The sequence below is a fragment of the Homo sapiens genome, chromosome 9 (assembly GCF_000001405.40).
Source record: "Homo sapiens chromosome 9, GRCh38.p14 Primary Assembly".
In the NCBI taxonomy this organism is placed as follows: domain Eukaryota; kingdom Metazoa; phylum Chordata; class Mammalia; order Primates; family Hominidae; genus Homo; species Homo sapiens.
The window spans coordinates 92,337,175-92,359,777 of record NC_000009.12 but is presented as its reverse complement, the minus strand read 5'-3'; the positions used below and the strand labels follow the sequence as shown (position 1 = coordinate 92,359,777).

The following is a 22,603-nucleotide window of genomic DNA, read 5'->3' as shown; positions in this document are numbered from 1 at the left end:
CAGCCATAAAGGATCTGTGTTTTGTTCACTGCGGCTTCTTATCACAGAAGTGTAGACAAAGAGTCAGGCAGCCATTGTAGTTACACATCCCCACACTTTTGAAAACCCTGCTTCCTCCAGTTGAAGTGATTTCCAGGGGACTTAAAAGGCCAGAGCTCCTTTTTTCCCACCTTCATTTTCTTCATTTCCCCTTTCTAAGAGCCGAACAATCAAGACTAGGACATTGACAAATAACTGCATATAAGGGGAGATTCTGTAAGAGATTGCACATACCCATGGAAAGCTTCAAGCCCAGAAACAAACTGAGAAGACCTTAAGTTTATACCTCAGGTTAATCCCTGGCACAGAGATGGCCTACAAAAATATGAATAAATAAATAAATAAAATAAATAATAACAATAACAAGCCTGTAAACCCTGGGGAAGAGGGAGAATCTGACTTTGGGGGTTACCACATTATTAGGTTCAAATGAGCCCTTTTCAACAACAATAACAACAAAACACAAGGGATACAAAGAAATATAAAAGAAGGCTGGGCACGGTGGCTCATGCCTGTAATCCCAACACTTTGAAAGGCCAAGGCAGGCGGATCACCTGAGGCCGGGAGTTCAAGACCAGCCTGACCAACATGGCAAAACCCCCTCTCTACTAAAAATACAAAATTAGCTGGGTGTGGTGGCACATGCCTTTAATCCTAGCTACTTGGGAGGCTGAGGCAGGAGAATCGCTTGAACCTGGGAGGCAGAGGTTGCAGTGCACCCAGATCATGCCATTACACTCCAGCCTGGGCAACAAGAGCGAAACTCCATCTCAAAAAAAAAAAAAAGAAAGAAAGAAAAAAAAAGAGATACAAAAGAATGGCCTCGTGAAATGAAAAAAAATAAATGAATAGACAGCATCCCTGAAAAAAAATCTGATGGTAGATCTACCATACAGACTTTACAACCACCATCTTAAAAATGCTAAAGAAAGATCTGGAGAAAGTTAAGAAAATGATACAGGAACACAATAGAAATATCAATACAAAGAAAGAAACCTAAAAGAAAACCAAAAGAAATTCTGGAAGTGAAAAGTACAATAATTAAAATGAAAAATTCACTACAGGAATTCAAAGGCAGATTTGAGTAGGCAGAAAGAAAAATCACCAAACCTGGAGATAGGACAATAGAAATTGTCAAGTCTGAGAAATAAAAAGAAAAAAGAATGAGGAAAAGTGAACAGAATGTAAGGAAACTAGCTGAGCGTGGTGGCTCATGCCTGTAATCCTAGCACTTTGGGAGGCCAAGGTGGGTGGATCACTTGAGGTCAGGAGTTCAAGACCAGCCACACCAACATGGTGAAACCCCATCTCTACTAAAAATACAAAAAATTAGCTGAATGTGGCAGCAGGCACCTGTAATCCCAGCTACTCGGGAGGCTGAGGCAGGAGAATTGCTTGAACCTATGAGGTGGAGGTTGCAGTGAGCTGAGATTGCGCCACTGTACTCTAGCCTGGGTGACAGAGGGAAACTCCATTAAAAAGAAAAAAAAAGAATGTAAGGAAACTGTGGGACATGGGGACATGTCAAGAGAACAAACTACCAACTTCTGCACTGTAGGAGTCTCAGAAAAAAAAAAAAAGAGAGGAAGAAGCAGACAGAATAAAGTGTTAAAACATCCCAAATTTGATGAAAGATATGAATATAAAACATCCAAGAGACTCAAAGAACTCCAAGATGAACTAAGAGATCCACATAGAGAAACATTATAATCAAGCTGTCAAAAGACAAAGACAAAGAGAGAATATCTTGAAAGCAGCAAGAGAAAAGAGACTGGTCACATACAAGGGATGTTCAATAAAATGATCAGCAGATTTTTCATCAGAAAGTATGGAGGCCAGAAGTCAGTGAGGTCATATATTCAAAGTGCTAAAAGAAAAAAAAAAATCTGTCAACCAAGAATTTTCTATTCTGCAAAACTGTCCTTAAAAAGTGAGGGAGATAGTGGCCGGGTGCGGTGGCTCACACCTGTAATCCCACTACTTTCAGAGGCCAAGGCAGGATCACCTGAGGTCGGGAATCGGAGATAAGCCTAACCAACATGGAGAAACACCATCTCTAATAAAAATACAAAAAAAATGAGCCAGGAGTGGTGGCGCATGCCTGTAATCCCAGCTACTTGGGAGGCCGTGGCAGGAGAATCACCTGAACCCGGGAGGCAGAGGTTGCGGTGAGCTGAGATCGCGCCATTGAACTCCAGCCTGGGCAACAAGAGTGAAATTCCATCTCAAAATAATAATAATAATAATAATAATAATAATAATAATAATAATAATAATGAGGGAGATGATCAAAGGGATGTGGCTGGAGAAAAGAAAAATAAAACAAAAAATAAAAAAAGTGCAGGAGAAATTAAGACATTCTCAGGCAAACAAAAGTTGAGGGAGTTGGTTATCATTAAACTTTCTCTGTAAGAAATGGTCAAGAGAATTCTGTAGAGTGAAAGAAAGGACACTAGACAGTAACCTGAAGACATATTAAGAAATAGACTCTTAGAACATATGGAAAAAGGCAAAAGAAGTAAAAAGTTTAAAAAAACAAAAAAAAAGACTCAATAAAGGTAAATACATGTGAAATTATAAAAGCTAGTATTTTTGCAACAATAGTTTGTTACTCTACTTTTTGTTTCCTACATGATTTTACAGACTAATACATTTTTTAAAAATTAGACTAAAAGCTAGTATTAATGTAATTTTCATTTGTGACTCCACATTATTTTCTATGTAATTTAAAAAACTAATGCATTTTAAAGAATTATTAGTTTACATTTTGGGGTGCACAACATATAAATATACAAGTTCATAACATCAATAATTCAAAAGGCTGGGGACTGTTGTAGGAAGTCAGGGACCCCGAACGGAGGGACCAGCTGGAGCTGCGGCAGAGGAACATAAATTGTGAAGATTTCATTTTAAAATGGACATTTATCAGTTCCCAAATAATACTTTTATAATTTCTTACACCTGTCTTTAATCTCTGAACATAAATTGTGAAGATTTCATTTTAATATGGACATTTATCAGTTCCCAAACAATACTTTTATAATTTCTTACACCTGTCTTTAATCTCTGAACATAAATTGTGAAGATTTCATTTTGATATGGACATTTATCAGTTCCCAAATAATACTTTTATAATTTCTTATGCCTGTCTTTACTTCAATCTCTTAATCCTGTTATCTTCATAAGCTGAGGATGTACGACACCTCAGGACCACTGTGACAACTGTGTTAACTGTACTAATTGATTGTAAAACATGTGTGTTTGAACAATATGAAATCAGTGCACCTTGAAAAAGAACAGAATAGCAGCGATTTTCAGGGAACAGGGGAAGACAACCATAAGGTCTGACTGCCTGTGGGGTCGGGCAAAAAGAGCCATATTTTTCTTCTTGCAGAGAGCCTATAAACAGATGTGCAAGTTGTTGCTACATTAATAAATCTTTTTCTCACCCTTTCCAGAAGGAAACAGAAGTAAAATTGAATAGTGGCTGCCTTTGGAGAAAGAGATGGGGTTAGTTGAGTGACAGAGAATTCTACTCTTCATTTTGCTCCTTTCTGTAGTGTTCCAATTATCTAATCCTTCCACATATCAGCTGAGGTTTTCTAAGCAGTAGTTATTTTTAGTTTACTTCCATATATTTTTAAATACCAAACTAATCAATACTGACTGACAATATCAATCAGTTAGTAAAATAGTTGACTAACCCCTGTGTTTATATATTCTGATATGATATGAAAATTTAGAAACTCTATCAATTTTAATATTTCTGTAGAGTTTTTGCATATGCATATTCACTATTAATACACAGAAGACTCCTAAGTTCAGGCTGATTCCTTTAAAGTGTCTATTCTACCCCTACAAGAATTGAAATAGTTTCAGTATATTTTGTTTTATAAATATTTAACTTATGTTTGCTCAGGTTGAGAAATGCAATGTTCCACAAGGGTCCATTTGCTAAATCTAAGGCATGAATGATTTTTTGGTAGTTACAGTATTTATGAAATATTGAGAATTTATGCATATGAAATGTCTCATAATGGGCTATTTTAGACTTAAGCTATTCTTTTTTTAGGTCTCCAGTGTAAAATTCGAAGAGTAGAAGCTATAGCAAATGAATATGCTGCATTTCTTGTGCTATAGACTCCTTAATCTTTACAGAAGTCTTATTTGTTCAGCTAGATTGGTCTAAAAGAAATGGTTTGATTTTCTCTCAAATAATTCAGCCTTCAAAAAGAAACCTTCCATGTCATTATTTTTGCAGCTGTAGTGCATACTGGGAGGCTCTGCCAGCTTGGCATTTAATGTGTTTGTTTTATGTAGAGTGTGGTATTAAAGTAGTGGCTGAATTACTTGAAGAAAAAAAAAAACAGACATGCAAGTAGGAGAGATATCGCTAAATTCTTTTCCTAGCAAGGAATATTAATGTTAATACCCTGGGAAAGGAATGCATTCCTGGGGGGAGGTCTATAAACAGCCACTCTGGGAATGTCTGTCTTATGCAGTTGAGATAAGGACTGAGATACGCCCTGGTCTCCTGCAGTACCCTCACAGGCTTACTAGGGTGGGGAAAAACTCCGCCCTGGTAAATTTGTGGCCAGACCGGTTCTCTGCTCTCAAACCCTGTTTTCTGTTGTTTAAGATGTTTATCAAGACAATATGTGCACCGCTGAACATGGACCCTTATCAGTAGTTCTGCTTTTGCCCTTTGCCTTGTGATCTTTGTTGGACCCTTATTAGTAGTTCTGCTTTTTGCCCTTGGAAGCATGTGATCTTTGTACCTACTCCCTGTTCTTATACCCCCTCCCCTTTTGAAACCCTTAATAAAAACTTGCTGGTCTGAGACTCAGGCAGGCATCACGGTCCTACTGATATGTGACGTCACCCCCAGCGGCCCAGCTGTAAAATTCCTCTCTTTTTACTCTTTCTCTTTATTTCTCAGCCAGCCGACACTTATGGAAAATAGAAAGAACCTATGCTGAAATATTGGGGGTGGGTTCCCCCAATAGGGGACAGAGCTCTAAAGAAACACAGGTCTTTTAAACTTTTTTTAAGTTAAAGTGGCATAAAATGAAATTGCAAGGACATGTGTGGTGGCTCATGCCTATAATCCCAGAACTTTGGGAGGACAAGGCAGGAGGATAGCAAGAGTCCAGGAGTTCAAGACCAGCCTGGGCAACAGAGTGAGACCCCTTCCTTTAGCATTTTTAAGTGGATAGGATGGATAATCAAGGGATAGGATAATCCATCACTCAGCCTCTTTCCCCAGCCACCCCTATCATTGCTCAATGGGCCCATGAACAAAGTAAAGTGGCCATGGTGGCAGGGATGGAGGTTACGCATGGCTCAGCAACAAGGACTTCCACTCACCACGTCTGACAAGGCCAATTTGCCAGCAGCAGGGATCAACACTGACCCCCGATATGGCACCATTTCTTGGGGTGATCAGCTAGCTACCTGGTGGCAGGTTGATTATATTGGGCCTATTCCATAATGGAAAGGGCAGAGGTTTGTCCTCACTGGAATAGACACTTACTCCGGATATGGGTTTGCCTATACTGCATGCAATGCTTCTGCCAAGACTACCATCGTGGACTCACAGAATGCCTTATCCACCATCACAGTATGCCATACAGCATTGCCTCTGATGAAGGCACTCACTTTACGGCTAAAGAAGTGCAGCAGTGGGCTCATGCTCATGGAATTCACTGGTCTTACCATGTTCCCAATCATCCTGAAGCAGCTGGATTGACAGAACAGTAGAATGGCCTTTTGAAGTCACAATTACAATGCTAACTAGGTGACAATACTTTGCAAAGCTGGGGCAAATCTCTCCAGAAGGCCATGTATGCTCTGAATCAGCATCCAATATATGGTACTGTTTCTTCCATAGCCAAGATTCATGGGTCCAGGAATCAAGGGGTGGAAGTTGAAGTGGCACCACTCACCAACACCCCTAGTGATCTACTGGCAAAATTTTTGCTTCCTGTTCCTGCGACATTACATTCTGCTGGCCTAGAGGTCTTAGTTCCAGAGGGAGGAACGCTGCCTCCAGGAGACACAACAAAGATCTCATTAAACTGGAAGTTAAGATTGCCACCTGGACACTTTGGGCTCCTCCTACATTTAAGTCAACAGGCTAAGAAGGGAGTTACAGTGTTGGCTGGGATGACTGACCCAGACTATCAAGATGAAATCATTCTACTACTTCACAATGGAGGTAAGGAAGAATATGCATGGAATAGCAGAGATTCATTACGGCTTCTCTTAGTATTACCAAGCCCTGTAAGTAAGGTTAATGGGAAACTACGACAGCCCAATCCAAACAGGACTACAAATGGCCCAGATCCTTCAGGAATGAAGGTTTGGGTCGCTCCATCAGGAAAAAAACACGACCCCCTGAGGTGCTTGCTGAACGCAAAGGGAATACATAATGGGTAGTAAAAGAAGGGAGTCATCAGTACCAGCTATGACCACATGACCAGCTGCAGAAACGGGGACTGTAATTGTCATGAGTACTTCCTTCTTCTTTCGTTAAAAATATGTTTGTGCATGTATACACTTGCACTAAGAAAGTACTTTCATTTTATTTCCTTTTTCCTTTATCATGTGACATATGATTTATTGACTTCATATCAGCATTTAAGTATTATCAACTTTATGTAATAGTATTTGGGTTGGGGATTGGTGAGTTTCTGGTTTTATGAAGGATAGTTGTATGTTAGGCACAATTATGACTATTATTGTCTTTATTTGAAGATTATGTATGATCTTAGGAGATGTGTATGGGTTCAAGTTGACAAGGGGTGGACTTGTCATGGTTAATACTAAGTGTCAACTAGATTGGATTGAAGGATACAAAGTATTAATCCTGGGTGCGTCTGTGAGGGTATTGCCAAAGGAGATTAACATTTGAGACAGTGGGCTGGAGAAGGCAGACTCACCCTTAATCTGGATGGGCACTATCTAATCAGCTGCCAGTGAATATAGAGCAGGCAGAAACACATGAAAAGGTTAGACTGGCCTAGCCTCCCAGCCTACATTTTTCTCCTGTGGTGGATGCTTCCTGTCCTTGAACACTGAATTCCAAGTTTTTCAGTTTTGGAACTCAGGCTGGCTCTCCTTGCTCCTCAGCCTGCAGACGGCCTATTACGGGACCTTGTGATCATGTGAGTTAATATTTAATAAACTCCCCGTTATATTATATATATATATATATATATATATATATGTATACACACACACACACACACACACACACACACACACACACAGGCTTTAAGCAACAGGCTTGAGAGAAAAGGCCCTGTCTTCTCTCAATGGGACAGATTCACAGAACTATCTTAGTTTTTTTTGGTTTTGGTTTTGTTTTTTCAGATGATGTCTTGCTCTGTCACCCAGAGGAGTGCAGTGGCACAATCTTGGTTCACTGCAACCTCCGCCTCCCCGGTTCAAGCGATTTTCGTGCCTCAGCCTCCCGAGTGGCTGGGGATACAGGCGCCCACCACCACACTCAGCTAATTTTTGTATTTTTAGTATAGACAGGGTTTCTCCATGTTTGCCAGGCTTGTCTCTAACTCCTGACCTCAGGTGATGTGCCCACCTTGGCCTCCCAACATGCTGGGATTGCAGGTATGAGCCACTGTGCATGGCCAGGACTATCTTATATAGATGGTGCAAATAAAGCTTGTGTGGTGCTTAAAAAAAAAAAAAAAAAAGGAAAAGAAAAAGAAAAAGAAATTCTGACTTATGCCACATGGATGAACCTTGACAACATTACACTCAGCGAAATAAACCAGTCAAAAAAGGCAAATACTGGCCAGGCACAGTGGCTCACGCCTGTAATCCCAGCACTTTGGGAGGCCGAGATGGCTAGATCACCTGAGGTCAGGAATTCAAGACCAGCCTGGCCAATATGGCAAAACCCCTTCTCTACTAAAAATATAAAAATTAGCTGGGCATGGTAGCGGGTGCCTGTAATCCCAGCTACTTGGGAGGCTGAGGCAGGAGAATCCCTGGTGAGGTAGAGGTTACAGTGAGCAGAGATCACACCACTGCACGCCTGCCTGGGCGACAGAGCGAGACTCCATCTAAAGAAAAAAGGCAAATACTGTATGATTCTACTTATATGAGGTACTTAGATTAATACTTAGATAGTATTAATCAAAATCACACAGACAAAAAGTAGAATGGTGGATGAGGAGAGGGAGGAAGTGGGAGTTATTGTTTATGGGTACAAAGTTTCTGGTTTTTTTTTTTTTTTTTTGAGATAGTCTCACTCTGTCACCCAGGCTGGAGTGTAGTGGTGCTCTCGGCTCACCACAACCTCCGCCTCCCAGGTTCAAGCGATTCTCCTGCCTCAGCCTCCCAAGTAGCTGGGACTACAGTCACGTGCCACCATGCCCAGCTAGTTTTTGTATTTTTAGTAGAGACAGGGTTTCACCATGCTGGATTTGAACTCCTGACCTCATGATCCACCCGCCTCAGCCTCCCAAAGTGCTGGGATTATAGGCGTGAGCCACCACACCTGGCCAAAGTTTCTGTTTTAAAAGAGGAAAGAGTTATGTTGACAGATAGTGGTGATGGTTGTACAACATAATGAATGTATTTACTATTATTGAAGTGTACTCTTTAACATGGTTGAGTTGGTAGATTTTGTAAGTATTTTGCCACAGTAAAAAAATAGGAAAACAAGTTAAATAATCTAAAAGAAGGCAAGAAAGGGTGTTAGTAGGTGTTAGTTCACACCTACTCATTTTTCAGATGTCAGCTCAAGCTTCAGGAAATGATTTCATGTTCTCTGTGCTAGTCTAATTCCTGATAAACACTTTGGGAGGCTAAGGCAAGAGGACTGCTTGAGCCTAGGAGTTTGAGACCAGCCTGGGCAATAGTGAACAAAAAAACCAAGTAGATTCACTGAAAACAAAGAACATAAAATAATAGCTGAATTAACACAAAGCTGCATAAGCATGTAGTTTATAGGGAACACTGGAGATTATGTGTTAAAAGTCAGTCTAATAACTATTTTAAAAATTATTTAAACATCTGAAAAAAATTGTTTTCCAAAAAGTATGGGCCTACAAAGAGGAGAAATTAGTTCATTCACGCTTAAAGGCCACAGTGACACGATATTTCGTTCTCCATCAAACAAGTGAGCAAAAAAATAAACTCTTAATCATGTGATGAGGGAGTAAGCCATGAAAATAATCTTAAAAGCTATGATGACTCAAGTTTAAACACATACACACAGAAGAAAAGACTGTTCTTTTACAATGAACTTTAAAAAATTCACAATTCCTTTATTCTTCCATTTGCATCTTCATAAAGGATACTGTACTACAGCACATAAGAGTTTTCCATATAGAAAGAAATTTTGTGTGTGGGTGTGGGTGTTGGCTCTCACAGCTGTAAGAATGACTGTAATTTATCTATTTTTCCTAAGCAAAGTCCAAACTTCACTAAACGTAAAACAGATGTCATGGATTTCTTTCATAAAATGTTGGCAGTAACCCATTTCAATTTCAGCTAAAGTAGTCAGGAAACAAAAATAACTCCAAATGTCTCCTTCTCAAGTATAAAGCGAACACAAAGAGAAATTTAGGATAAAGATTCCAAAATTTTATTCTAACAATAAATTCCTGGGACTATTACATCTAAAATTAGGTGACCATCAGAAATTAATTCACAAAAATATTAACAGACATTCTCACACATTACTGGTGGGAATACAAAACAGTATGGTCATTCTGGAAAACGGTTTGGCAGTTTATTATAAATTTAAACATACTCTTATACGACTCAGCAATTCCACTTCTGGTTATGTACCCTAGAGAAAAGAAAACTTACATTCACACAAAAACCTCTAGTGAATGTTCACAGCAGCATATACATGTATGTTTGTGTGTGTAATATACATATTTATAGCATATGAATGTTTGTAGCAGCATGAATGCATGTGTATGTGTGTGTATACATACAAACATATATAAAGATAATATGCTATATTATACACTATAATATGCTACATAAATGTATACATAGGCCAGGCGTGGTGGCTCACGCCTGTAATCCCAGCACTTTGGGAGGCTGAGGTGGGCGGATCACTAGGTCAGGAGATCGAGACCATCCTGGCCAACATGGTGAAACCACATCTCTCCTAAAAATACAAAAACTAGCTGGGTGTGGTGGTGCGTGCCTATAATCCCAGCTACTCGGGAGGCTGAGGCAGGAGAATCACTTGAACCAGGGAGTCAGAGGTTGCAGCGAGCTGATATCATACTACAGCACTCCAGCCTGGTGACAGGGCGAGACTCCGTCTCAAAAAAAAAAAAATAAAAAAAAAAGTATATATAATATGCTATATTCACCAAAAACTGAAAATAACCCAGATATCCTTCAATGGGTAAATGAATAAACAAACTATGGTACATTCATACAAGGGAATATGAAAACACAAGAAATAAAAAGCATTACAAGCGACATAAAGAACTCCTTAAATGGGCCCACTGGCAGACAGTACTGCAACAGAGGAAAGACTCTGCGAAGTTGCAGATAGGTTAATAGAAATTATCCAAACTGAAACACAAAGGAAAAAAGGCATGAAAGAAATAGAACAGAGCATCCAAATGCTGGGACAATATGTCAAATAGTCTAACATATGTGTCATTAGAGTGACACAGGGCAAAATAAATACTTTAAAAGACATGGTTGATAATTTTCACACAAATATACCCTAAACATAGCACAAACTACAGAAACACAAAATTAAGAGAAAGATTTAAGGCTGCCCCAAGCACACACACATGACACACTAATACAGAAAAATAAAGATAACAATCATCGCAGTCTTTTTGTCACAACCTATGCAATCCAGATTATGAAAGAGTATGTTTAAAGATATATGTTTTTTATCTTTAAACCTGTCTACTCAGAATTCTATGGCCAGCAAAAATATCTTTCAAAAAATGAAGGCAAAATTAAGACCTTTCCAGAGAAACAAAAGCTGATAGATATTACGGCCAACAGACAAGCACAGTAAGAAATGTTAAAGGGTCAGGTGCGGTGGCTCACGCCTGTATTCCCAGCACTTTGGGAGGCCAAGGCGGGTGGATCACCTGAGATCAGGAGTTTGAGACCAGCCTGACCAACATGGTGAAACCCCGTCTCTACTAAAAATACAAAATTAGCCGGGTGTGGTGGTACACACCTGTAGTCCCAGCTACTTGGGAGGCTGAGGCAGGAAATTTACTTGAACCCGGGAGGCAGAGGTTGCAGTGAGCTGAGATTGTGCCATCGCACTCCAGCCTGGGCAAAAAGAGCGAAATTCCATCTCAAAAAAAAAAAAAAAAGTTATAGGAAGTTCTTAAGGAAGAAGGAGCATAGCAGTTAGAAATCTGAATCAAATGAAATGAAGAATGAAATAAAGAAATGAAGAATGTTGGAAATGAAAAAATGAAGATAAATATACAAAAACACGTTTTGTCAGCCAGGCACGGTGGCTCATGCCTGTAATCCTGGCACTTTGGGAGGCCGTGGTGGGTGGATCATTTGAGGTCGGGAGTTCAAGACCAGCCTGGCCAATGTAGTAAAACCCTGTCTCTACCAAAAATGCACAAAAAAAAAAAAAAAAGAAAGAAAGAAAGAAAGAAAATTAGCTGGGCATGGTGGCTGGATGCCTGCAATCCCAGCTACTCAGGAGGCTGAGGCAGGAGAATTGCCTGAACTTGGGAGGCAGAGGTTGCAGTGAGCCAAGATCATGCCATTCCACTCTAGCCTGGGTGACCGAGTAAGACTCCATCTCAAAACAAAACAAAACAAAACAAGTTTTGTCTTATTTTTAATTGCTTTAAAAAATAATTGACAGTCTAAGGCAAACATAGTAACAATGCCCTGAGACATTTGGAACATGTAAAAGTGTATGACAATTATATGAAAATAATAATACAATGGTTGAGGGAAAATAAATGGAAAGTATACTGTTGTTCTTATAGTACATGTGAAATGCTTACTATTTAAAGTGAAAGTAGACTGTGATAAGGGAAGATCAAGGTAGAAGCAAGAGTCAATAAAATAATGACTAAAAATTTTTCAAAACCTAAAGATACCAATCCTGTCTGAAAAACTACAGATCTATAATGAAAAACTAAAAATAAATTCATAATTAGGCATATAACATTTAAATTGCATAACAGCAGAGATAAAGAAGAAAGAAACTCCAAAAGGAGAGGTAACTTACACGTAGTTGAATCTGGAATAAAATCCAGGTCTTCTGACCTATGTTCAGCACCCTTTCTAAAATACCAGTCACTCTCCACAAAATGGGAACCCAGTCTAAAAAATTGCCCAAAAAGCTGGGATTAAATATTTATTAAGTAACTATAATATGCTCATTATTACAGGAAGAGAGATATCTCACTACTCTTCCTTTTGTAATTTCCAAATAGCAGATGCTACTTCCAAACTATGGTCTGAACAAAAGGAAATATGTGATCTCTGCCATGACACAACACATTCTTGGTATTCTCCCTACCTCTCAAACAGTTCCTTTTCTAATTCCTTTGCAGGATCCTTCCCTTCTATTCAGCCAGTATATTTTAGAATTCCTCAAGGCTCAGTTCTAGGGCCTTTTCTAGTTCTACTCTATATTCCTTCATAGGCAAACTCATTCCTGCTCAAGGCTTTAATTCCTACCCAATAGAAGATAATTCCAGTGTTCTATATCTCCCACCCCCACCTCTACTGTGCTGCCTCTTTCTCATTTTTATTTCAGTGTTTTCAAAGGCACTCAAGTCCCATATGTCCAAAATAAAGTCATAATGTCACCTGACAATGGTCCTCTTCCAACCTTCCCTTAACAGCAGACGGGACCACCATAATCAAAGAGTTATCCCCTGTGAATGACCTCTAATCCCTTTTACTCAAGCAATCCCATGCCCACTCATTTTTGCTTCCTAATTATCCCCCAAATCCATCTAGCTAAGTATCATCATTTCAGTCCAAACTACAAACTTCTCTTGCCTGAACTGTTTTAAAAGACTAGTCATTGACTCACTTGTATCAATGATTGCACCCCTTCATTCCATTTCCCCATAGTATCCAGAATAATTCTTTCTAGGATGCCACACTTTTGCTTTCCTCAGGCCCTGCTCAAAACTTTTCAATAGTTTCACTTGGTCCTGGGACTGTGATAACACTCTTTATACCCAATTCCCAGTAGTATGGACCTTACCTAATTTCCTAACCTCATCTTACACCATTCTCCTAGGCTCTTGCCTCCACCTGTCACTGTGGCCCTGTGTCAATTGCTCACAGACACCATGCTCCCTGCTGGCACAGTGCTCAGCAAAGTTATTCCCTCTTTGTTAGTTCACACCTACTCATTTTTCAGATGTCAGTTCAAGCTTCAGCAAATGATTTCATGTTCTCTCTGCTAGTCAAATTCCTGATAAACACTTTGGGAGGCTAAGGCAGGAGGACTGCTTGAGCCTAGGAGTTTGAGAACAGCCTGGGCAATATAGTGAGACCCCATCTCTAATTTAAAAAAAAATACAAAAATAATAAAAAACAAAAATTCCTGATATATACTTCAACAGCATTATGTAACTCTCCTTTGTAGCATTTAACATAGCCATAATTTTATATTTACTTCTGCCATTATTTGATCAATATCTAACTTCTCCACTAGACTGTCAATTCCATGAGGACTGAGGATTGTGTCTTTTTTTGCTCACATTTTAATTTTAATACCCAGCACATAGTGAATGTGCAATAAATATAAACTAAATGAAAGAATGATAGATATAGAGAATATGGGCTCAAATATAAGCACAACAGTGGTGTTATACTTTCAGAGAAGACCTATTTACTTACTAAGAAGAGGAAAAGGTAAACTTAAAACTGTAAAGTGTAAATTTACTTTTTTTCTCTAAAAAAGTAAGTTTGTAAAATAGCTTACCTAGACACAAATTCACTTAATTCTGAGCATTCTGTGGGCTCCATTATTATGTTGAGGTCAGTAACAGCAGAAGATAATCTCTCCTTATTCTAAAATAAAGATAAAAATTTCTGTATCAAAGCACAGTAAACTTCAAAAAGACAAAAATACTTTTGAAATATGCAAAATGAAATGCCACCAAATAAAAGGAAAGAGTAATCATGACAGAAACAAAACAAAAACAAAAAAAGTTCAATCTCACTAATAATAATTGTAAATTAAAACAATAAGGTAAGATGCCTTTTTTTTTTTTTTTTGGAGACGGAGTCTTGCTCTGTCACCAGGCTGGAGTGCAGTGGCGCGATCTCGGCTCACCGCAACCTCCGCCTCCTGGATTCAAGCGATTCTTCTGCCTCATTCTCCCCAAAGCTGGGGAGCTGGGACAACAGGTGCCCACCACCACGCCCGGCTAATTTTTGTATTTTTAGTAGAGATGGGGTTTCACCATGTCGGCCAGGATGGTCTCAATCTCGTTTGTTTTGTTTTTGTTTTTGTTTTGAGACAGTCTCGCTCTGTCGCCCAGGCTGGAGTGTGGTGGCGCGATCTCGGCTCACTGCAAACTCCGCCTCCCGGGTTCACGCCATTCTCCCGCCTCAGTCTCCCGAGTAGCTGGGACTACAGGTGCCCGCCACCATGCCTGGCTAATTTTTTTGTATTTTTTAGTAGAGACGGGGTTTCACCGTGTTAGCCAGAATGGTCTCGATCTCCTGACCTCGTGATCCACCTGCCTCAGCCTCCCAAAGTGCTGGGATTACAGGCGTGAGCCACCGTGCCAGGCGGTCTCAATCTCTTGACCTCCTGATCCCCCCGTCTCTGCCTCCTGAAGTGCTGGGATTACAGGCGGGAGCCACCGCGCCTGGCCGATAAGATGCCATTTTTACCTATAAGATGAGCAAAGACTGGCCGGGCGCGGTGGCTCACGCCTGTAATCCAGCACTTTGGGAGGCAGAGGCGGGTGAATCACCTGAGGTTAGGAGTTGGAGACCATCCTGACCAACACGGTGAAACCCCGTCTCTACTAAAAATACAAAAAATTAGCTAGGCGTCGTGGCAGGCGCCTGTAATCCCAGCTACTCGGGAGGCTGAGGCAGGAGAATCGCTTGAGCACAGGAGGCAGAGGTTGCAGCGAGCCAAGATCGTGCCACTGCACTACAGCCTGCGCAACAGAGCGAGACTCAGTCTCAAAAAGAATAACAATAATAATAATAAAAATAAATAATAAACTTGTGAAACAAAGCTTGGATTCCAAATAAATTACATCTTTAAAAAAAGTATTGAACTGTACACTTTAAACTGGTAAGTTATATGGTATGTGAATTATATCTCAATAGAACTGTTACCAGAAAAAAAAGCAAAGAAAGGAAAAGGAAAGCAAAAATCTCAGGAGCACATCTGGTCTCTTGGTCAAGTATGTGTAGATACATGTTAGATTTCAGCTTTTCACCCATTAGGATAGGCAAAAACAAATTTTTTGTTGGGTTATAGAATCCTGTTTAACAACTCAAAAGCTGACTTCAAAATATTGTTTTTCCATCTTTCCATCTCTCCCCTGCTTGTGGTACTGCTAACTAGGTCAATTCTCCCCAGTTGGTAAATAAGGGAAGAGACCTTATAAACAATCTGACCTCAAAGCCCCTACATGTGTCTCAGTACCACATTCCTTTCTACTATGGTCCACTTAAGCCCACAGTTCTCATTCTCCTCTACAACTGAAGGATTATGGGTAGAGATCTTTAGGAAAAGGGTGCCATTAAGTTGGTCCTTTTTTTTTTTTTTTTTTTTTTTTGAGACAGGGTTTTGCTCTATTGCCCAGGCTGGAATGCAGTCGTTCAATCACAGTTCTTTGTGACCTTGAATTTGTGGGCTCAAGCAATCCTCCTGTCTCAGCCTCCCAAGTGGCTAGGACTATATATGTAAGTAACCAAGCCTGGCTAATTTCTTTTTTATTTAAAAAAATATATATTTTTTAGAGACAGGGTCTCGCTATGTTGCCCAGGCTGGCCTTTAATTCCTGGGCTCAAGCTATCCTCCTGCCTTGGCTTCCCTCAGTGCTGAGATTATAGGCGTGAGCCAATGTGGCCAGCTTAACTTTGTAAAACTTACAAATCTCTCATGAAGCACCCTGTATTGGATTTCAGTGTTTAGACTCAAATGTCATTAATATCAAACAGATTTTCTTTGGAGCCTGTGATAATGGAATTGTATTCTCTTCCATTTAAAAAAATTGCTTATTTTTTGAATAATTTTGTTCATTTCATTGGGACAGAAGTTATGGAAACATACTTAACCTGCCACTTTCCCCACAAACTCCTACCAATCTAATTGACTATATTGCTTGGATTATGGAAGGCTGATAAACGTTAATTCTGATGGCCTTACAACTCTTCACAAATGTAGTACTAAGAACACCAGAAAGTAAATCTGGCCAACAGAGCTCTATGTCCCAACCACCTTGGACAACAATAGCTGCACCAACATGAGTAATCATTCAAACTCTCTGGATCCATTTACTTATAAAATAATAGGGTTGACCTAGACAAACTATAAGTCATCACTTTGTTCTAACATTCTATTAACATGATTTGAGGTCATGTTTAGTTCAAATATTATATTAATATAACTTTATTACAACAATATTCTGTAAATTGAGGGTTTTACTATTTAGATTACTTTTTAATTTTCAGATAGCTAAACCTCTCCCTCTAGTGGAAATTTTATTTTTAAAAAATGTTTTAGAACACACAAGGTTGCTGTGTCATTTCTTTTTCTATCAGTCTTCACAGTAAAAATGTAAAAATGTGCTCAGTATGTAAAATGGTAAAACTATTTTAGAAGGCAATTTGCCACTATCAATCAGAATTTGTAAGTTTCCTTTGACCCAGCAATTCTACTAGATATGTTTCTAAAGGCATACATACACAAGTTGGTATAGAATATGCTAGAATTTACCATTAAGTAATAAACATTTCAAAAACTTTTCATCAAGTTATTATATCAGAATTGTAAGCAATAAAGAGAAACGAGATAGTCCTTTGTTTTTCCCTCCCCAAGTAAGAACTCTTGGTGCCTCTCACACAACTGATTCCAAAAACCCTGTTGATTCCACAGCTCTCTGTAATTTCTTCCAACACCTTGTTTACCAGTCCTGGTCTTCAAGAAGAATCATAAAATCTAAAAGGCTCAGAGAGAAAGTGAGAGTTCTTAACACAGCCAGGGAGAACACACTCTTTCTGTAGCACTTTGTTAGTAAAACCAATCAGTCCCAAAACACATACATACTTTAAAACTTAAACAATGACAACTCATGTCTCTTTAGAGACTCAGCAATTACTAGGTTCTATGTCCTTCAAAGAAGATATCTACAGTTCCTCTCCTTAGATTTTTTTCCCCCTGCATCCGCTAAAGCATATAGGACAGAAACTGCTAGTAGTCCCCTCTATTTATACTTTTTTCTTGCCCCAGTTTTTCACTGGCCATATGGCCAAGCATAACAAAGACTAAATTCCCAGCATCCTTTGCATGAACTTGTTGGCCAATAGAATATAAGTGAAAATGATGAATGTACAACTTCCAGAAAGTGTCCTTTAAAAGAACAGGCGAGGCTTTCTTTGCCCAACTTCTTCCTGATACCTGAAATGCTAATGTGATCATTGTGCCATGACTTGAAGCCATGTTGGCTGATGGTAGAACCTGATTATCATAAAACCACCATATTAGCCCTTGAAAACTTACAAGTTTACTTAAGTAATAGAGAAATACACTTCTAGTACCTTTATTTTTAAGTTTTCTGTCTGGCACAGCTCAACTGACTCTAATTCATTCAGCATGTGAGCTAACAGTATAATCTCAGGCCATTATCAAATGGTCACAAAATTTTCAATCATGCTTTCATGACATGAGGATGAGAATATTGGCTTAAAATACTGTTGAGGTCTGGGTCAGTGCCAACACTGTCTGTTAGGAGGCAGAGTGTGGCCACAGCAGCAGGGGTTGCAGGACCTAAGTGGCAGGACATCCACTGTCTGGCTTCTGTCCTGTCTGTGCTGCCCTGGGGCGGCTGCCCAGGCCCAGCAGGCCAAACCATGTGGTAGTTCATGCTAGGAATGACTCTGGTCAGGCAGCTGTCATTCTTTAGGAGCATATCACATTATCAGAAATGTCTTCTACTATCGGGGGACCTACCCCAATAATCACATAGGTTCATTTCTATTTTTCCTAAGCGTCGGCCGGCTTGAGAAATAAAGGGACAGAGTACAAAAGAGAGAAATTTTAAAGCTGGGCGTCCAGGGGAGACATCACACGTTGGTAGGATCCGTGATGCCCCACGAGCCACAAAAACCAGCAAGTTTTTATTAGGGAGTTTCAAAAGGGGAGGGAGTGTGCGAATATGTGTGGGTGACAGACATCAAGTACTTAACAGGGTAATAGAATATCACAAGGCAAGTGGAGGCAGGGCAAGATCACAGGACCACAGGACCAAGGCGAAATTAAAATTGCTAATGAAGTTTCAGGTACCATTGTCATTGATAACATCTTATCAGGAGACAGGGTTTTGAGATCAACTGGTCTGAACAAAATTTATTAGGTGGGAATTTCCTCTTCCTAATAAGCCTGGGAGCGCTATGGGAGACTGGAGTATATTTCATCTCTGCAGTCTCAACCATAAGAGACAGGCGCCCCTGGGGGGGCTGTTTATAATCCTATACCTCCAGGCACGTATTCTCTTTCTCAGGATGTCCCATGCTGAGAAAAAGAATTCAGCCATATTTCTGCCATTTGCTTTTGAAAGAAGAGAAATATGGCTCTGTTCCGCCCGGCTCACCAGCAGTCAGAGTTTAAGGTTATCTCTCTTATTCCCTGAACAATTGCTGTTATCCTGTTCTTTTTCCAAGATTCCCATATTTCATATTGCTCAAACACACATGCTGTACAATTTGTGCAGTTAATGCAATTATTACAGGGTCCTGAGGTGATATACATCCCCTCAGCTGACAGGATTAAGAGATTAAAGTAAAGACAGGCATAGGAAATCACAAGGGTATTGATTGGGGAAGTGATAAGGGTCCATGAAATCTTCACAATTTATGTTTAGAGACTGCAGTAAAGAAAGGCATAAGAAATTATAAAAGTATTAATTTGGGGAACTAATAAATGTCCATGAAATCTTCACAATCCATGTTCTTCTGCCATGGCTTCAGCCAGTCCCTCCATTTGGGGTCCCTGACTTCCCGCAACATTTTACATGGTGACCTCATCCTTATCTGACTCAGGAAGGCATCAAATTACTATTTGATACTTTCCATCAGAGGTTTAAGGTGACTGAAGTATGCAACTTAAATAAAGTGAAGATATTGTAGTCTATGTTGGATATTATAGCCTATGTTATGTCTCAGGCCATAGCCCCACTAAGGAGCATACCAATCAATCTTAGGGTACAACCCATCCTGGAAGGTATAACTCCACTAAGAAGCTCATTCACCTCAATGTCAGAGGATAATCTTTCCCTTTTCACTTGGATTTGTGGACAAGCCTCTCAAGGACAAGACTAATTCTGCCCACAACGGAGCTTCTCTCCGCATAACCTATGAGGCAACTGTGAAAGAGATGAACTCTTACAGTAGAAAAAGCCTGCAAGACCGCAAGGCTGCTAGGATTCCCCTGAGCAGTTTCCTGGACATATATACTAGAGTGCAGATGTTTTCGGAGATGGTAGTGGACCATAGGATTATGATTCCACCAACCTGCCATGGGTTGCAGGCCTGGCCCATTAATGGATGCCAGCATACAGAAGAGCATTCAGTAGATTACCACTCTCAGGTCAAGTTCACATCAGCCACAAAGAAAGAAAATATAGTCAGTCAGACTATGAAACCTTTTACAAAGGGACAACATCCAGGAGTCCCTGAGCCACCTAAAGGAAAAGCCTGGGGTGGTGGCACAGGTTGTCCAGCCTAAATGATACCAATCCATTTGGGTCCATTCTCTGCTTGAGTCTTCAGCAAATGATCTTTGTGGTCATGTGATATCTCCTTGGTGACCTTGTACATCCCCAAGGCCTGCTGCCCATATGGGAACAATGTCAGTCCCCTAGAGCCACTTACCACCCATGCCCCTGACACATTGAACATGCTGAAATGTGTTTTGTATCCTGCTCAAATGGCCTAGGCAATGCTATACTACACCTTTTCTTGGTCACTTTGGCAGTGTGAGAGTGATACTCTAAGACGAGTACAGGCTGGGAGCTTTGCCATCAAATGAGGGGGTCTAGACAACCCCTAGCCCATCCTCAGCCTGCCAGAGCCAGTAATAGCAAATGGAGACTTGGATTGCAAAGAGAAGCAAAACTTCCAAACCCAGGTAACTGTACCAAATCCTTGGGACTAGTTAGGGAGTGGCTATCTGACAAAGAATAAGGAAAAGTCCTGACTCCATAACCAAGTCCTGTCTCATACAAAATGGGAAACTTGGGACTGTTTTTGTGGCTAAGGACACTGATGAAAAGGATAAGGAATCCTGGCACATGACCCTGAATATAAGCAGGCAGCTTGTCCATAGGACTCAGTTACAACAACTACTCTACACCACTTTAGATATCTGATGAGCTGAGGCCAATGCAGCCTGACAGCCCTTCCCTGTTCTGTTCCTCCTCTTTGCACACATTCCCTGTTGGCCCAACTGGCAAAACCAACTGGTTGAAACTGCTTTCTCCTCTTTCAACTGCTTTCTCTGGCTTTCAACTTTTCTTGGAGTCAGCCTTTGAAGGTGGCTGAGCCCTGTTCTGCTGCACCCTGGCCAGTGGGGTTACTTGTTATCATTCTGTCTGCTTTCGCTTTCCTGCTTCCTGATATTATGTGAAGGTCTTAGCCAAAGGGGTCTTCCTCCCTCTGTTGTGTCTCAGCAGTTCAATACGAGGTACAAGATCATCCAGCCCCAAGGAGCATTCAAATGGCTGTGGTCCCAGATGACCACAACCTCATGAGAGGCCCTGAGCAAGGACACCCAACTGAGTGGCTCCAAAATTCCTGACCCACACAAAATAGGTGAGATAATTAATAAATATAGTCAGCCCTCCCTATCTGTGGTTCCACATCCATAGATTGACCAACTGCAGACCAAAAATATTTGAAAAAAAAAAATCTACAGATGCAGATGGTTGGATCTGTACTGAACACGTACAAGTTGTTTTTCTCATAATGATTCCCTAAACAATATACTATAGTAACTATTTCATAGCGTTTACATTGTATTGGGTATTGGAAGTAATCTAGAAATGATTTAAAGTATAAACGAGGATGTGTGTACATTATAGGTAAACACTACACGATTTTATAGAAGGGACTTGAGCATCCGTGGATTTTGGTACTACAGGGAGTCCTGGAACCAATCCCTCACAGATACTGAGGGATAATTGTATTTTTGGTGGTTTTTTTTTTGTGTGTGACAGAGTCTCACTCTGCTACCCAGGCTCGAGTACAGTGGCACAATCACAGCTCACGGTAGCCTTGACCTCCTAGGCTCAAGCAATCCTTCTACCTCAGCCTCCGGAGTAGCTGGGAGCACAGGTGCGCACCACCACGCCTGGCTAATTTTTTATTTTTTTGTAGAGACAGGGTCTCACTACATTGCCCACGCTGGTCTCAAACTCCTGGGCTCAAGCAATCCTCCTGCCTTGGCCCCGCAAAATGCTGAGACTACAGGTGTGAGCCACCATGTTTGGCCTATTTTGGGTTGTTTTAAGATGCTAAATATTATGGAGACTGGTTAAGCAGCAATAGATAACTAATAGATATTAGATGGCTGGCATATCACCTAACTACTGATGACACCCAGGACTATTCCCACAACCTCATGGAATTGCACTGGAAGCCCAGGAGCATCTTGCTACCTGTCCTTCAATAAAGCACCTTTGGCTTTCACAACAACCCTACCATATGCAGTTGCTGGGCTATTAATACCTGAAATTTTGAAAATGTACCACTTTGCACAAATGTGCTATGAATGGGGGGGCCCTGGCTCATGAACTCCTCTTCAGCTCCATCACTGTTGAAGGCTGGGGTGTGGGAATTGTTTATCTCATAGCAGAAGTATCTCTGTTATCACAACATGCTTCTTAATTTACCTGAATTTCCAGAATCTGAAATTCAAGTTGAAATGTAACCATGTGGCAATTTCCTGATAATCTGTGTCTCTGTAGAACTTTTCTAATACCTGTAAAGCAGAAAAACAAATATTTTGTTTGCAAATAGCCATTTTCTTCAAATGTGTATTATTTAATTTTGTGTGAATATCTACAATACATGTGGGTATATGTGTGAAAGTGTGCATTAGCAATTACATTGAAAAACTCTGGAAGAACGTAAACCAAATTGATTATCTTTGCAAAATAAAATTAATGATAACTTGTGTTTCTAGTTTTCTTTTTTTTTTTTCCAGAAGGAGTTTCGCTCTTGTTGCCCAAGCTGGAGTGCAATGGTGCGATCTCGACTCGCTGCAACCTCTACCTCCTGGGTTCAAGCAATTCTCCTGCCTCAGCCTCCCGAGTAGCTGGGATTACAGGTGTGCACCACCATGCCT

The 22,603-nt window shown here is 40.3% G+C and overlaps 1 protein-coding gene and 1 pseudogene across 7 annotated transcripts in view; one reads left to right on the top strand and one right to left on the bottom strand.

The window, feature by feature from the left end:
* The window catches only part of CENPP (centromere protein P), a 295,062-nt gene that overhangs the window by 260,752 nt on the left and 11,707 nt on the right, over positions 1 to 22,603 (bottom strand). For 4 of the 7 annotated variants that reach the window (NM_001286969.1, NM_001012267.3, XM_011518689.2 and 1 more), the window contains 2 exons: positions 22,149 to 22,237; positions 13,991 to 14,079 (listed from right to left, as the gene is read on the bottom strand). In NM_001286969.1, the coding sequence (NP_001273898.1) occupies positions 13,991 to 14,079; positions 22,149 to 22,190 (131 nt within the window). In that variant the 5' untranslated portion in view covers positions 22,191 to 22,237. Of the gene's footprint in view, positions 1 to 9,632; positions 9,863 to 12,271; positions 12,367 to 13,990; positions 14,080 to 22,148; positions 22,238 to 22,603 lie in introns of those variants that run through there. The other 3 variants (XM_011518685.3, XM_047423391.1, XM_047423392.1) reach the window with 3 other exon arrangements.
* On the top strand, positions 19,268 to 20,108 carry LOC100420779 (phagophore assembly factor 1 pseudogene; annotated as a pseudogene).